This window comes from Homo sapiens, chromosome 12 (genome assembly GCF_000001405.40).
Source record: "Homo sapiens chromosome 12, GRCh38.p14 Primary Assembly".
Lineage (NCBI taxonomy): Eukaryota > Metazoa > Chordata > Mammalia > Primates > Hominidae > Homo > Homo sapiens.
This window is the reverse complement of record NC_000012.12, coordinates 91,938,169-91,956,672: the sequence shown is the minus strand read 5'-3', so window position 1 is coordinate 91,956,672 and position 18,504 is coordinate 91,938,169. Positions and strand designations below refer to the sequence as shown.

At 37.0% G+C, this 18,504-nt stretch overlaps 1 long non-coding RNA gene across 1 annotated transcript in view; it reads left to right on the top strand.

Moving 5' to 3' along the window:
- LOC105369901 (uncharacterized) overlaps positions 1–18,504 on the top strand; it is a 53,084-nt gene that overhangs the window by 12,705 nt on the left and 21,875 nt on the right. The window contains exon 4 of the long non-coding RNA XR_007063580.1: positions 11,371–11,517. This is a non-coding gene — a long non-coding RNA (uncharacterized LOC105369901). The remainder of the gene's footprint in view (positions 1–11,370; positions 11,518–18,504) is intronic.

Sequence of the window (18,504 nt, the reverse complement as noted above, 5' to 3'; positions counted from 1 at the left end):
TGCATTGATTCACTCTTGCTTTCACGAAAGATTTCTCTGTAGCCTGTGATAGTGTTTGATAGCATTTTACTCATAGTAGAACTTCTTTCAAAATTGAAGTCAATCTTAAACCCTGCCACTGCTTTATCAACTAAGTTTATGTAACACTGTAAATCCTATGTTGTCATTTCAACCATGTTCACAACATCTTCCCCAGAAGTAGTTTCCTTCTCAAGAAATCACTTTTTTCACTCATATATGAGTAGCAACTCCTCATCCATTCCAGTTTTACCATGAAATTGCAGCAATTCAGTTGCATCTTCAGACTCCACTTCTAATTCGAATTCTCTTATTCTTTCCTCCACATCTGCAGTTACTTCCTCTACTCAAGCCACGAATCCCTCAAAGTTATCCATGAGAGCTGGAATCAGCTTTTTCAAACACCTATTCATATTGATATTTGACTTTCTTCCATGAATTATGGGCATTCTTAAGGGCATCTAGAATGGTGAATCATTTCCAAAAGATTTTCAATGTACTTAGCCCAGATTCATTAAAGGAGTCACTATCTATGTCAACGATAACCTTATGAAACGTATTTCTTTTTTTTTTGTCTTTTTCAAGAGATGAGATCTCTCCTCTATCACCCAGCCTGAAATACAGTGGCATGATTATAGCTCACTGCAGTCTTGAACTACTGGGCTCAAGCAATCCTTCTGCTTCAGCCTACCAATTAGCTGGGACTATAGGCATGTGCCACTGTGCCTGGATAATTTTTTTTTTAATTTTTTTTGTATAGATGTTGCCCAGGCTGGTTTCAAACTCCTGGCCTCAAGCAATCCTCCCACCTCTGCCCTCAAAAGAGAGGTGGCATGAGTCACCACTTGTGGCCTTGAAATGTATTTCTTAAGTAATAATACTTAAAAGTCAAAATTACTCTTTGACTCATGGATTGTAGAATGGATGTTGTATTAGCAGGCATGAAAATAACATTAATTTCCATGTACATCTCCATCAGAGCTCTTGGATGACCAGGTGCATTGTCAATGAACAGCAATATTTTGAAAGGAGTTTTTTTTTTTTTCCTGAGCAATAGGTCTCAACAGATGGCTTAAAATATTTCAGTAAGTCATGCTGTAAACAGATGTGCTGTCATCCAGACTTTGTAGTTTTATTTATAGAACACAGAGAGAGTCAATTTAGCATGATTTTTACAGACACAAGAATTTTTGAAATGGTAGATGAGCACTGGTTTCAACTCAAAAAGTTACTAGCTGTGTTAACCCCTAACAATAGAGTAAGCCTGTCCTTTGGAGCTTTGAAGTCAGGCATTGACTTTTCCTTTCTAGCTATGAAAGTCCTAAAAGGCATTTCTTCTAATATAAGGCTGTTTCATCTGCATTGAAAATCTGTTGTTTGGTATAGCCGCCTTCATCAACGATCTTAGCTAGATCTTCTGGATCACTTGCTGCAAATTCTCCATCAAGCACTTACTACTTCACCTTGTGCTTTTATGTTATGGAGGTGGATTCTTTCCTTAAATCTCACGAAGCAACCTCTACTAGCTTACAAATTTTCTTCTGCAGCTTCCTCATCTCTTTCAGGCTTCATAAAATTGCAGAGAGTTAGAGCTTTTCTCTAGATTAGGCTTTAGTTTAAGGGAATGGTGTGACTGGTTTGATCTTGTATCCAGACCACTAAAACTCTCCCTATCAGCAATAAAGCTGTTTTTCTTTCTTATCATTCGCATGTTCACTGGAATAGCACTTGGAATTTTCTTCAAGAACTTTTCCTTTACCTTTACAACTTGATTGTTTGGCACAAGAGACTTCGCTTTTGGCCTGTTGCAGCTTTCCACATGCTTTTCTCAGTAAGGCTAATCATTTCTAGCTTTTGATTTATAGTGAAAGCTGTGTGATTCTTCCTTTCACTTAAATATTTAGAGGACATTGTAGGTTTATTAATTGGCCTAATTTCCGTATTGTTGTGTCTCAGGCAATAGGGAGGCCCAAGGCAAGGGAGAGAGATGGGAGAACAGCCAGATGGTGCAGCAATCAGAACACATACAATATTTACCCACTGCATTTGCTGTCAGATTGGTGAGGTTTACAGTGCCCCAGAACAATTACAATAGCAACACCAAATATCACTAATCACAGATTACCCATAACAGATATGACAATAAGGGAAAAGGTTTAAATATTTTGAGAATTATGAAAATGTGACACAGAGATATGAAGTGAGCACATGCTGTTTGAAAAACGGTGCCAACTGACTTGTTGGGCGAAGGATTGCCACAAAGCTTCAATTAGTAAAAAATGCAGTATCTGTGAAGCACAATAGAGCAAGGTGAATAAAACGAGATATACTTGTGTTCTCTTTCTGGTTACCCCACTCTATTCAGTATAATGTTATTGTCATTCTCTTTTAAAATTTGATTGCATTTACATATTACTTTTCTGTTTATAGCCTCTTTTTAGATCTATCTGCCATAGTTTCATATTATAGAGATTTTTAAGAACTACATACATATTTTTACCTTGATGTTCTGTACAAATGAAATGCAGATTTACATTTGAAAAAAAACAAAACAGGACAAAAACAGAGTTGTATCACAATTATGCTAAAACTACATTATGTATCTGAGTTAAAGGATACAAGAGATAAAGAAAACTGGTTTAAACATGCAACTTGAAAAATGATAATGCCAGTGGAAAACATCTTTGCAATATTCCCCTCCTGTGAGCACATGTACAAATTTGATTTGCAATATAAGCAGCAAACCTTTTGAACAAGGAAAGAAATTAATATGTACAAACGCATGATCTATGATACATCAAAGACTGGAAAAGCCACATGCTTATTCTAATAAAATATAGTATCAACATAAAATAAGAAGTGATTATTGATAATCTTAGGGCAGAAAGAGATGAAAGCAATTCTCAAATAAGGTTTTCATTTGGTCTTTCTATAACTATATTCATTGTTCTTCAATTTTAATAAAGCACACATAAAAAGTAGAGCCAAAATTTGGCAATAAACTACCCATTCTCTCTTTATCCCCCTGGGTCACCTTAGGATGATCTGTTGTTTTGATGGCCAACAAGAAACATTTAAGTTTATCTAAACTTGGAAAATACATGTACAGGATTTCCAGTTAGATTGGATTTGAATGTAGGCTTGTGTAAGTTGCTTAACATTCTTGAACTTTATCTTCAAATGAGGCAAATATTTAGAGATTTTGCTGGATTCATTGGTAAACACAGGTAAAACACCAAGTAAGGGAATGTATTTATCAATTATTCATTGGTAAATACAGGTGGAACACCAAGTAAGATGCTCAACATTTAGTACATGATAGGGATTAATCTTATCATCAAGAAAGCAATGTGGTGGAAATAACCTGGATTAAAAGACTGGACATTTTTTTTTTCTGCTCCTGATTCTGAAGGAATCTTAAGTGACCTGTGCTACCTCTCTGGCCTTCAATTTCCTCCTTTCTAAAATGAGGAAGTTGGAATATCAGCTAGTTAAACATTTTTATAAGTAACCAAACCCTTTGTGCAAATGTAATCTTAGACAAAAGGTCAGTGTTTGAAAGTTGTAAAGGCAGTGCTGGTGGAATCAAGGTAAAGAAGTGGAGCAGGAGCTAAACTTTCCCTCTCCCTATTGCCTGGAGCTGCCTGAGGCACCACACAGGACATCTTGGATTCAGTAGAGGATAGGAATAAATGATTGCCAAGAAGCTTTGGAACAAGTCTCTCTGCTCTTTGATGTTTGCATAGTGTGTTAGCTGGATGATTTTTCATTAAGTCAATTCTTTATTGCATTTCTCTTAGAATGGTCCCAAACAGTAGTCTTACAACAAAAGCAATAGACTTTTAATGATTAAATAAATTTAGTGACCCAATTCATTGCTCTGAACTCATGATATTAAAGATTGAACCAATTTGTCATAACAGATTTGCATATATATACATATATATACATATATATATATATATATATATATATATATATGCTTCTAGTCAGGTCCCATACAACTGTGTTGGGCCTCTCTATTACCTGAGACACAACAATATGGAAATTAGGCCAATTAATAAACCTACAATGTTCTCTAAGTGTTTAAGTGAAAGGAAGGTCCCATACAAACTATCGTAACTGGTAACTTGAGGACAATATGTACATATGTCTTGTCATTTAATTTCCATCAGATAGGTGTCATCAGCTTCATATTAGTCAAAATAGAATTCCCAAAGGTTAATTAATAATTTTGTTGAATATTCTCACTTCTAAATTAGATATAATTAACTGTATACAAGGTTCTGTTCTCATTTTATCTTCAAATAACCCTTTGCAGGAGGTATCATTATTGTCGTTTTATAGATGTGGAAAATGTAACTCATGTTTAAGGAACTTACCTGAAATCACAAAGGGCTATTAAGTGGTAAGGCTAATATTTGATCCCAGGTTCCTTTTTTTTAAAGACAGATTCTCCCTTTTTTTTTTTTTTCTTTTCTTTAAGACAGAGTCTCACTTGGCCACCCAGGCTGGAGAGCAGCGGCACAATCTCAGCTCACTGCAACCTCTGCCTCCAAGGCTCAAGCACTTCTCCCACCCCGGCCTCTCCAGCAACTGGGATTATAGGTGCCTGCTACCACACCTGGGTAATATTTGTATGTTTAGTAGAGACAGGGTTTCACCATGTTGGCCAGGCTGGTCTTGAACTCCCGACATCAAGTGATCCGCCCGCCTCAACCTCCCGAAGTGCCGGAATTACAGACATTACAGGAATTACACTGCACTTAGCCAGAGCCCAGGTTTCTTGATGACATATTCAGTCCTTTTTTTTGCTAAGCTATGAGAGCCAGTGGAAATTTAGACAGAACAATGCACAAGCTTTTCTTTATTGAGGATGTGTTCTTATTGCCTTGCTTGAGAATTTCAAGTAGTTCAGAGAAGCTCTCTGAATCATCTGATGACACACAGTTAATAAGTATTCAGGCTGGCCTGGAGTTTTCAAAAGCAAAATGGGTAAATATTCTTCATGTTTTAAATTATAGTAAAAACATTTGCATTCTGATATTAATATTTATTGATTTTTTTGAGGTTCAGTGAATAGTTCTCATGATAATTCCTAAATCTTCAGAGAAAACCTGCATTCATAAATAACAAATTGTGTCATTATCTACATCTGTTCTCATTTTCTATAGGCTTAAAAATTCTGTATTATGGGAGCCAAAAGAAATGGCTGCCAACCAGTGTCTCTATCGAATTTTAGCTCATTTTTCTCACTTAATTCTTTATTTGAGAATGAAATGCTTATCCAAAATAAATAAGGGACATACTAAATTGCAATGATTAGCATGCAATGAGTGTCAGATTCCATTTTCTTATGGAAATCGAGTAAAATCCAACATTTTAGCAATACTATTGTGATGTCAGCTGCCCAATTAGGCTGTTATAACTGCAGGAGCTACCACTTTATTTTATTTATTTATTTATTTATTTATTTATTTATTTATTTATTTATTTACTTTGAGACACAGAGTCTTGCTCAGTTGCCCAGGCTGGAGTGCAGTGGTGCAATCTTGGCTCACTACAGCCTCCACCTCCAGGGCTCAAGTGATTCTCCTGCCTCAGCCTCCTGAGTAGCTGGGGTTACAGACGTGCGCCATCACGTCCGGCTAATTTTTGTATTTTTAGTAGAGATGGGGTTTCGCCATGTTGGCCAGGCTGGTCTTGAACTCCTGACTTCAGGTAATCTGCCCACCTCGGCCTCCCAAAGTGCTGGGATTACAGGCGTGAGCCCCCGTGCCTGGCCAGTAGTTACTACTTTAATATCACATTATGACATCATTAGCTTGAACCATGCCACAGCAGTATGAAAATTAGCAAGTTTCATGTTTTAAAAGAGACAATATGAACTTTTCCTGCTGCTTAAATTTGTGTGTCGGAGTACGGGTGGTGACAGAGGACATATGGAGCAAAGTTACGTTTTAAATTAATAACAAGTTGCTTTTGAAAAGTGTGTATATTCAGAAATAAAATCTAAGTTGTATTTTAAAAATAAAAAACAAGATGAGTCCTTTTATAATATTATTATTATTATTAATTATTATTGTATACCCTTTGTTAGCTGCCTGAAATTTTTTTCTGGAGCAAAATGAGCCAGAAATAAACAAGCAAGCAAACTGAAAAATGCACTACTACTTTATAACCTCAAAATTATATTTAGCTACTGAAGCCATATTAAAAGAATATTTTGAATGGATGAATAAAAATATGTCATCATCTATTAACTAGTGGCAAAATGTCCTTCTTAAAATTTGGCACACATTCTATTTTTATTATAACTTCAAGTTGTACAGTGCAATTTCTAAAGCACGTTAACATGTATTAGTATTATTTCAACTTCACATAACCTTAGAATATGGTCAGAGCAACTATCCATATATTTGTTTCACAGATGAGGAAATTGCATTTTGACTTTCCCTAGGTCGCACAGATTCATTTTTATTGTTTGCTATCTATATGATCTTGAAAAAAATGACTGCTCTATACCTCAGTTGTGACATCTATAAAATGAGAATAACAAGTAGATATGTCTTGCAAGGTTGTTGCGGGAAATAAATGAGATAAACCATCATAAAATCTTAGTACAGTGCCTGAAACATGGTAAACAACTATAAATGTTAACTGTTGCTATTTTTATTGCTTTTTTAAAAAATTGAGGAAGATAATTACATTATAGAAAAGCACAGAGACTTCTATAATACCATATATTATTGAATACTTCTGTAATATCTGTATAATGTGAAAGGTCAACATGTTTCCTTTAGATTCATTTATTTGCTCATAATTGCTTTTAGTTCCCTTTGCTTATGGGATTCATTTTGTTTCTTGCCAGTGTGTATCCTCTGGTAGTTCTTTCATGAGGGCCTGTGAGTCATAAAGATGCCTATACTTTGGGCATCTTCTACTTTATCTTCTTGACTGTTTAAACATACTCTTTTTAAAATTGCATTTTCTTTGTAGTAATCTGAGTTTCCTTGGATGTAATTTGTTCCCTTTTCTTTTCTGTTTTTTTTTTCTTTTCTTTTCTTTTTTTGAGATGGAGTCTCGCTGTGTCACCCAGGCTGGAGTGCAGTGGCGAGATCTTGGCTCACTGCAAGCTGCGCCTCCCGGGTTCATGCCATTCTCCTGCCTCAGCCTCCTGAGTAGCTGGGACTACAGGCGCCCGCCACCACGCTCGGCTAATTTTTTGTATTTTTAGTAGAGATGGGGTTTCACCATGTTAGCCAGGATGGTCTCAATCTCCTGACCTCGTGATCCACATGCCTTTGCCTCCCAACTTGCTGGGATTACAGGCTTGAGCCACCGCGCACAGCCAATTTGTTCCCTTTCCTTTTCTTCTGATTTTCTCTCATTTGGTTTCCTTTTGGCATCATAGATACTTTTCGTGAGCACATTTTGGAATGGATAATGTTACTATGTGTGTTCTGAGTGGTGTAGACTTTCTGTCTACATCCAAGGAACTTCAGATTAGTATAAAAAGAATGTAATCTTAAAATGAGTGTGTTTAAATATTCAGGGAAATTAAGAAAAAATAGAAAATAATGTACAAACAATAAATTATGTTAAAAAGAAAGGCTAAGCAGATATTAAAGGGCCAAATAGAAATCTTGAGTACCTCTGTGGAGCCCTGGGAAAGGCAAGAGCCTCATTTCAGTGTTTGCTCAAGTTCTGGGCTTGGAATTTTCATACTCTTTGTGTCCATATAGGAATTCAGGTCCCATAATGGGTACAGGTTCAAGGCTGCAGGGTTTAGCAACTGATTCTGTTTTTTATTCATGGCTTCAAATGGGCTTCAGTCTTGTTTACTATGGGAGAAAAAAAGAGGAAGAGATTAGAATACTGCGACCTTGTATTCAGCAACATGTACCCATAACTCAGAACAGGATGTTATCATCTGTCCCCAGGAAGGCCGCATGCAGTTGAAAACCTCAATGTTTCTGCCAGCAGTGCTTGCTTCAAAATATTCCTGGCTGTGTAAGGCTTTATCTCTGTGGGCACAGTACATCCACGGCATTTCCCTCCAAGCTGCCTTTCCTGGTGCTAGAATGGACACTTGCCTTGTGGGAATATTTTTTCCTTGCTTTTAATTTTCTTTCCCTGATGGCCAAGGTAATACATGCTTATGTTAAAAGGAAAAAAAAAAAGGGAAAATATAGAAAAACATAAAGAAGTGGGGAGAAAAGTCACTTATACTCTTATTGCAGTAATATTCTGATATATATTCTACAGGCCTTTTGGCCTCTATTTTTGTCCTTTTCATAATTGAGATAATACTAAAAATACTTTTAAAAAATCTACTTTTGTTGCTTACAACTATAGTAAAATCTTTTAATGAGGTATGATGTTAAGGGTTCTAAAAGGCCTTCTTCACTAAAACCTTTACGCCATTGGCTTGTTAAGAATTTCTGAAATTCCGGTATTAGACGTTCATTTCTTTAGATCTAATGGACAGCTGTCAATTGCTTTACTGGTGAAGTAAACCAGAGTGATCAGCCATTAATACTTTATCAGTCATTGATGGCTTCTGTAGCTTCATAGATCACATGCTTGCTTTCCTTAAATTTCAAGAGTGTGACAGGCCAACCTAGGAGAGTAGAAGGTGACAGGGGTGTATGGCAGAAAAGGGCAGGTCCACGGATGGGGTAGATAGATGTAGACGATGGTCCTATGGAGTATATTAAAACATTTACATGTAACCACTTGCTCTGGGTAGCAGTCCAAAGGCCAGGTCCATGATTTGAGGGTGAAATGGGGTTAAAACCTGGCTCTCTCATTTCCTAGTGGTGTGTCTGAAGTTCACTGCTTGAAGTCTTCGATTCTTAGTGTTTTCATGCGTAATAGGGAGTTACTGAAGCCTACTTCAAGGTCATTGTGAAAAGTAAATGAGGAAATGCAAGTGTTTGATTCACAGTAATTGTACACTAGATGTTTCCTTTTCATCCCTACTTCCTCCCAGCCCCTCAACAGCCCTGTTTTATTACGTAAGTACTTAGAAAAATGGGCTTTCCATAGCTCCGTCAATCAGAATGGCCTTAGCCACAGCAGGACCAAGAATACGGTTACACTAAACTGTGCTGATTCATATCAGGTTTCAGTATGGTTGTTCAGCTATAGTCAGCCTCTTGGTATGGTGTACTGAGTTGGTGCTAGTATAGTGCCTAGCACATCATAGGTGCAAAATAAATGTTTGTTGAATGAAGGTTTACAGATTCAACCTTCATTAACACATAGAAACTTTTATGGGCCATAAACCCCTTAGAACATAGTCTTTGGTTGTTTTTTATAATTATTTACATGTCATGTATTCTTAAAAAGTTTTATTTGTTTATATGAAAACTTCTTGATAATACAGTTATACCCTTGGTTAAATTATTATTAAGTTAGGAATAATTGAATCTGAAATCTGAAACCATAGAAATGTAAGTTCAAAGACCCCCTGAAGCTCTTTTCCTTACTCCCATTTCTTCAAAAATAATGTTTCAGTTTTCAGAATCATAATGTCTACCATTTTAAACTATGTGGTTATACAATTCAACAATGAAGCTTAGTGTTTTATATAAAAAGACTAAAAATCAGGTCTAATATTAAATCAGAAAATAGTCTGTAAAATAGCCCGCACATCTTGACCATTATTTAATAATGGTTTGCTGAGACTTATAAAGGAGCAGAAAAAGAAGTTGGTTTTGCAAAAGGAAATACACACAGAAACTTACTCGCATTCAGACAACCTTAATAATGTTTCATCAGAATCATTGCTCCTGGTACACAGTATAGGTGAAAAGTACTTGGGAAAAAAAGCCAGCATAACTGTAGGAAATTTAGTTAATCTATTAATGCAGCTCTCCCAAGGTTCTCTTCAAGTTTGTAGCATTTGCATCCTGGATACTTGAGTTTTGGATACTTATGTTCAGCACCAAGACATCCTTCCACTTTGAGACTTAGGTATTTAGAGACTTTATGGGTGAGATGACATGATAAAAGTAAAAAGAAAATCAGCAAAAAAGTTTTGAGTACCCACTCTTTGCAGTATAAAAACATAACAGCCCTTGTTCTTCAAGAGTGTAACAACATTTTCATCAGCTGCCATTATTACAAATTGAATTAGTGATGTGCCATTAACTATTTTCATCAAGTCATGACAAATATAGGTTGTTAGCACTGCTTCAGAAAGCTAGCGGGGAGAGGAAAAGCATGGAGCTCTATTCCTTTGCTTCCTCCCCTGAAAATGAAGATAATAAGGCCTCCCTGCAAAATTATGGTCAGGATTAAATGGGATAACACCTGGGAAAATGCTCTGCAAACGCTAAATCTATGAGTTCCAAGATGTGGTTCCTAGGCCAGCAGCATGGGCACCGCCTGGGAACCTGCTGGGAAAGCAAATTCTTGGGCCCCACTCCCAAACCTGATAAATCAGAAACTCTAGGTATGGGGCTCAGCAATCTGTGTTTTAGCTACCACTTCAGGTGATTCCTGTGCTTGCCAAAGATTAAGAACCACTATCCTAAAGTGTTATACAAATGTCAGGCATTGCTATTCTATGATATTCAAGGACCTAAGATACCCATTGGCCCTAAAATATCTCTTCCTCACTGGCCTATCCTCTGCCTTCAATTTGCATAAGTAATGAACAAGAGTGGATCAAAAAATGATATCCCCCTTTTCCTCCTCCAAAAAAACCCTCCAGTATTAATTGCCTGTGAATTACCTGGTTAATCAACATTACGTCAGCTGGGATGAAACTTTTCCCACTACCACCCATTGTCTCTGAAATGAGACTTGAGGACTCTTAGGTGGCCACTCCTTCAAGAAGACCATGGAGGTCTAGGGAACAGCCACCAAAAAGAAAGGTTGCTGCCACGCTTGAAATTTACCTGCTGTTAAAAGCCTCCCTCAAAGCTAAAACATCAGGATGGTTTAGAGTTGACTGGTTTGCGAGTGTGGTAAGATTAAAAGGGACTAGGTCTTCCACTGTTATTGAGACAAAAGGTGAAGCAATACAACAGATTTTCACCTTGCTTTCCTTGGGTTGTCATCTAAAATGTTTGCAGGAGACTCAGGGCAACATTTTGGAAACACTCACTCTGTGTCACACACAGTGCTAAATACTTCAAGTGTGTTATCCCATTTACTTTTATTTACGCACTCAAGAGGTGTGTGCTAACATGGGTCTTGTTCACAGACGAAAAAAAATGGCACAGAAAAATTAACTAATAGACCAAGTCGCACAACTGGTGCTTAGCAGAGCCACAATTTGAAGACAGGTTCTAACTGCAAAGTCCACACAAGTAATTGCTCTATGTTATTGACTTTCAGCATTTATGAATATCATCTGTCTAATCTGGAGAAACACGTCTTATAGTTGGCCACTCTCATGGTTCTTGTTGCCTTCTGTTGTTTGGAGGAATCTAAGGATTTATGGAAGTTATGTTGGTATATCAGAAGCTTGTTGGTATATATTTGGTGAGTATATATTTTGTTCTTTGTTCAGTTCCAACTCTCTATAAATAGCCTCCCCATAACCCCATCCATGATGTACCAGCAAAGTATTCCTGGCAGCTGTTTAATTCCATGGGGCCTTCCCTTTCTGGTCATAGTCTATTGGATCAAGAATAAGTTCCCGACAGAGATTAGGCTGATAAATATAGTTCTTGGAGGAAGATTTGAATCTGGGACTAAATTATAGCATTTGGGTCCCATGTAGACTAAAAGACAGAGGCCAGAGGGATTGAGAAAAAAGTAGATGCTCAAAGGAGAGATATTGTCTCAATTGTATTTCAGTTCTTGGTTTCAGTTCCCTTTTAAAGCCCAGTTTTTTAAGGATACCCTGATATCTCTATGATGAACTCCCCCTTTTTCACTTAAGTTAGGCTCAGAAACAATTGACCACCTAATTGGTTGGTGGAAGACACCTGCTGACAACTCAGCAACTCTCACATAAGATTTTGATACTCATGGACCATTATTTCCTGGCTGCCTGGTGGGGGTCCTTTAGTGTCCTACCAACTCCATCTCCTTATCCTTTCCTCTCTAGTAAACTTGGTTGCTTGGATGCTTGATGATATATTTGCTTATTCTTTCACCCCTCTTGGTTTATCTCTACACACATGTACACACCTCTACTCTCCCTGCTCCCCACATGTTATGTGGATCTTGCCAATGGCCACTTTATAATTTTGTCAAGTTCCAGATCCTGCAAGCTGCTAGTTATCCTCTTCAAACTTCATTACTATGAATTGTAATTCACTGCTTTGAAACAGTGAATTATCTTTTTAGTGACTTATGCAGTTAAACCAAGTTGTAAAATTCAGTGCCAAATCCCTATAGTGCAAACTTTAAACACTGTGATTTTAAATGCTCTCCTGTTTCAATGTGTTCAACATCCCATTAGATACTACCACTAATGTGTTCCATATCTTATCCCATAACCTCTAAAAAATGGGTAAACAATTTCAAAGAAAGACTTATGGAAACTTAAAGTTGGAAGATAACCAACATTTTCCAAATGCAGGAGTCCTTGCTGCAACCCTCCTGCGTTTAAGTTATTGAACCTCTTAAACACTTTCCGCAATGGAGAGTTGCACAGTCCTCTAAATGAGTATTTTATTCTCTTAAAATAAGACCTACCTCTTTGTCATATCCAAATTTTGCTACATAAAGCACCTTAGAGTGAATATTCTCCCAATACCTATGATAGATTGCTTTCTAAATTTTCCTTTCTTAAGGTAAACAATACCAACCTCCTTCAACTGTTTTTCATTGAGTGGTTTTAAAGGATTATGATCATTCGATGTCCTTTTTTCTGAACAATATCTTATTTCACAGAGTCTTTTTTTTAATGTGGCCTTTCAAAACTGAACATATCATTGTCATGTGGTCTGGATGTCTATCTCTATGGAAGTAGATTGGGACCACCATTATTTTCCTAATACCTCTATCAGCTTGTTGTCTCCTAGGATCTTTTTCACATGTTATATTGTCAAGTCAAGAATCCGGAATCTCCTATTAATATGGTTTTAAGCAAGAAAAAATATAGGATTCCCACTGTGACAATAAGATATCATTGAGAAAATTGGTCACCTTTAACTTCCCACACACCTTTAACCAATTACTTAGCCACAGTCATCCTCCATTTTCTCTCCATTTTTTTTTTTAAGTTGAGATGACCCTCTTTTTATCAAAACTCACTTTTCTACCCATGGAATCCATTCTTTTCTTTCTTCTTGGAAGCTTGTCTTATTCTTCTTTTGCTCTTCTCTCTTACTGACTCTGCCCTCTGTGCCTCTAAACTGTCTCAAATCTCTTCCATTACAAATGAAACAGGTTCTCTCTGGTAGCTACTACCTTATCTCTGTCCTTTCATTACCAAGTTCTCGAAGAAATGCATGCTTTCTTCTCTTTTCTGATTTAGTTTTTAAAATATACTTTAATTTGGCTTCCATCTGAACCACTTTACTGGCACTGCACCTACTGAGTCTAACAATTGGTTTGACTGTGAAATTCACAGGTCATTTTAAAATTCTCGTCTTAATGGACCTCTGAGTTACATTTAATACTGTAAATTACATCTTTCTTGAAACTCTATTTCCATGGCTTCCAAGACCCAGAACTCTCAGAGTTTGTCCCATGTCCCTCTAACCACTCTTTCTTTCATTTTTTCCTTTTTCTCCATAAACTTCTTTTCCTTTTCTTTTGGCTTTTAAACCCTGGAGAACCCAAAGTAACATGGGATTATTTGAGGTCCTGCTCCCTAATATGACTATGTATTTTCACGGCTTCTCTAATATCATCTGTCACCATTTTCTGCTCTGCCTTTTAGCACTCAGAGATTTCTGTGTACACTCTACTAGTTTTCACCTGTGTGTCTTTCTCATGTTGTGCCCTTTAGCCAGAATAAAACCCTTTCAGCTCAGATGTCTACTTCACTGGTACATCTTCTTCCCCCCGTCACTCTTCATTAGATGAGTTAAATGCTGCTTGCTTCTCTGTACTGTATAAATGGCCCATCACTGCACTTTTCTTTTTATAGCTCTCTCTCCTCAAGTGGACTGAGTATTATGAGAAACTGGGATAAAATATTTTTCATTTTTTTAATATCTGCATGTCTCAGCAAAGGACCTGAGTAAATGATCAGCCGATCAGCCACTGTATGGAATTTTGCTATTTACATTGCTCTATATTTTTATGAACACCATTTTCGGTTTATCTTTTCTTACAGCTAGTTTTAGTCCAGCATTCCAGGCTGTTCTTCTCTTTTTAATTTTCCACTTGACCATCAGTGCTATTCATCATCTTGCCATTCTTTCCAGTACTGGCAGATTAGATATGTGTGCCCTCTTAGTTTTTATTCAAATCATTTGGAGAAAATGTTGAATAGGACTGATCCTATAGTAGAATTCTGGAACTGGTAAGTGGTATCCTAGCATCTAATGTCTTGTTGCTCTTTTTTCACAAATTGCCAAAATAAAGCCATCTTTGCCAAATAGCTCAGTTGCAGATTGGGCTTGTGCATTGATTTCAGCTACTGTCTTACATCTCTTCCCTGCACAAGTGTATTATCTAATGTCTTCATTATAAGAGAATGTGAAGGAAATCTTTAATGAAAACTTGTGTTATAGCAACAGTCTCAGTCTTTCATCATTGGATAACTAGCAAAGAGTTATCAGGAGAAAGGATTATACGGGTTAAAGCAATTTTATTTTTTAATGAGGAATATAAGAACATGGCCATTTTCCGTTGGTTATATCAGAACCCCTGTATTAACAAGTGCAAAATACACTTTCTATTTACCATTACTCCAAGGGAAAAAAAGTACATTATTTGCATTGAAGAAATATATAGTTATGTCTTCTCGAGTTACATGAAGGATAATTTTAATGTTGATTGCAGAAAACTAAATATTAGTAATTAATTGATTATATCTATGTGCCAGGAACATTTTGAGATGTTTTATGTATTATTTACTAGTCAGAATAACTCTATGAAGGAAGTATTATTTATTTATATGTTTTACGAATGAAACATTGAAGCAGAGAGAGGTTAAGTAACCTGTCCAAGGTTATATAATCAGTAAGTTCAAGGGTCACCAGGCTCAGTTCTAGAAAATTCTCAAGTATATACTCATGTTGCCACAAATTCTAACTATCACTATTCTACCTAACAAACAGCTATGCCCTTCTTAGAAAGCAACATCATCTCCTTCAATACAATACACCCAGTTCTCCTTGTGTGCAATTCTGTGGGTGAGTGGGCAGTGTTCTTGAGCATGGAATACAAATAATGAAAACCCTGGTGGGTGGAGAAGCTAAAAAAATTAGTTCTTTCTGCTCATTATCGTGTAATAATTTGTTTTTGATGGGCTTAGAAGGGAATTGGGAATGAAAAAAGACCCACACCATCTTCTTTATGGTAGTCATCATCATTATTTTCAATTTGGTAGAAAATGTTCTATCCCTTTCCCAGTATATCTCCCTTGTCCCATAAATAGAAACTTGGCCTTTTAAAATTTATTAGGAAGATAACATGGGTATTCCCCTCCACCACTGCCTACACCCAACTTTGTTCCTCCTTGCTGGGGCAGCAGTGAATCATATGCTTGGGGGATGGCTGGACCTGGTGGAGATCCCCATGAGAACTGCCCTTGTCTAGCTTGAGATCTTTTCTATACTGTATCTCAATCTTATTCCCAAACAGTAAGTGAATTACTTAGTCATGGCTTCTTCATCCTGCTCCTGGATAGGTAACATTATTTCAGGGCATGAGGAATGTAGAACTCCTTTTGTTCAGGGGTGTAAGCTGAATTTCCAAATCCAGGGTTAAAGGTGGGACTATGACTCTTTGACTCCTCTTTCAATATCTATTGAACACCAACCATGTTCATATACCGTTCTAGGTGTTGGAGATTCCACAGTGAACAAAACTAGCAGTGACTCTGCCCCCAAGGGTGGTACATTCTAGTCAGGCAAGACAGACAGACAGACAAAAATATATAAAACATACCAGATAATAAAGAGAGTTGGGAAGAAAAATAAAGTAGGTAAAGGGGAATAGAGAGTGCATAGTTGGGTGGAGTGGTGCTATTTTCCGTGAAGTGGTCAAGGAAAGCCTCTCTGACTGTTTAAAATTTGAGCAGAGAGTGAGGAAGTGAGTCCTGTGGCTACCTGGGGGGTAAGAATTTTTTCTTTTTTTTACAATAGCAAAGACACAATCAACCCAGGTGGCCATCAACTTTGGATTTGATAAAGAAAATGTGGCACATACACACCATGGAATACTATGCAGTCATAAAAAAGAACCAAGAGGCATCTTAATTTAGGAAGGTAGCAGTGGAGGTTGTAAGCATTAACTTAAAGTTAGAGGCAATAGATACATGCCTTTTGTAGCAACATGGATGCAGCTAGAGGCCATTATCCTAAGCTAACTAATGCAGGAAACAGAAAACCAAACACTATATGTATTTGGTTGGAGTTAAACATCGAGTATACATGGACATGAAGATGAGAGTCGTAGACACTGAGAAATACAAGGTGGGGGAGTGAGGGAGAGAGGCAAGGGCTGAAAAACTACCTATTGTGTACTATGCTTATTACCTGGGAAACAGAGACATTCATACTCCAAACCTCAGCAACATGCAATATATCTTTGTAACAAACCTGCAGGTGTACACCTTGAATCTATAATAAAAGTTGGAAATAAATAAATAAATGTCTAAAGACAACAGACACTGGCAAGGCTGTCAAGAAAGGGGAATACTTATACACTACTGGGGGGAATGTAAATTAGTCCAGTCATGTGAAAATCAGTTTGAAGATTTCTCAAAGAGCCAAAGAACTAAGAGTTGAACTACCATTTGATCCAGCAACTCCATTACTGGGTATATACCCAAAGGAAAATAAGTCATTCTACCAAAAAGAATTTTCTAAGAGCAAGTTCAAAGAACCTTGAGGCAAGCTAAAACTTGCTTTTTTTTTTTTTTTTTTTTGTAGGGAGGCCAGTGTGGCTGGAACAGAATGAGTAAAAGAGGAAAATGTAATAGTTGAGTACAGACAGAAAGAAGAGAACAAATTCATGTAGGACCCCAATAGCCAAAGTAAAGAATTTTAATTTTACTTTGTGAGAGATGGGAAAGCAAGATTTTGAAATGTAGGGTAATGTAATCTGACTTGTCTATTGAAAAAATAATTCTTAATTTAGTGTAGAATATAGATGCCATGGGGAAATTGTGGACATAGGGAGAGTGGCCAGAAGGCTACTGTAAGAGTTTAATTAGGAGATAAAGGCAGCTTAATTTAAGGGGATAGCAGTGGAGGCAGTAAGTATTAATGTATTCTGGATGTATTTTAAATTAAGAGGCAACAGAATTTGCAAGTAGATTGAGTACGGGGTTTGATACTGTCCATGTGGTAATTTTTATTTTTATTAAGTAGTTGTTTTAAAATTTATTTTTGTTTTCAAAGTTTAAATATAAAAATAATTAGAGTAACAAAATACATCCCCATAAGCCCAGATTCTACACTCATCCATATTTGACACATTTGCTTTAATTTTCTCCTTTTGTATTTGTTGAATTATTTTAAAGCAATCTCATGGACAGTAGTCTAGAGATTAATACAGGATATCAAAGAGGGAGTAGTGGATGGGATAGTCTGATGTTATGACAGTATGGAAGGGAGAACGATCTGGAAATTTTAATGAAGAAACAGGCAGGATACTCATCCACCCTTTAGGTCCAATAGGATGAATATAGTGCAGAAAAATAGCCACCTTCTGAGAAGGCTGAAGGTAAAATAACTAGCAAATCTAGTTTCTGCTATATAAAAAGCTGAGGGAACTATTCAGATAAGAGACTGAGGACATATAAGATCTTGCCGATGATGGACTATGGGTAAAGAGCTTCAGGAATTGGAGAGGGAAGGGAGATGGGGACAAAATAAGAGATTATGGAGCTATGCGACTGTTAAACGTGGAGGGTGAGGGTTACCTGTGATTCTAAAGCTTCTTGAGGTAACAGACATAACAACAATAAATGTGGTTTCCAGGCATAAAATGGTGGCATGGTTGTGGATTTTAGAGTGCAGGGAATTCTGGGTATCGAAGACCCCCATTTCATACTTGGTGGTGGACACAGGTGGTTAAGGGAAAGATGGTTTTACTCTGAGTTCACATATCTCACTCTTAACTCCCATTGGGTGATGAGTTGATGAGGTAGCGATCTAGCTTTGTTCAAGCACATGCTAAAACAAAAACGCGACCAATAAAAAAATCACACTGTAAATTGTTTTCCATATTTGTTCATTAACACATGTAGCACACTTTGGGAATCACTGCTCAATACTGCCTCTCTTTGGACCACCTTAACCATGAATAATATCCAGGAATGTAACAAATAGAAGCAGCTGTAGAGGTTAGTTGCTGAACATCACCATACTGGGTATTATGAAAAATACAAAG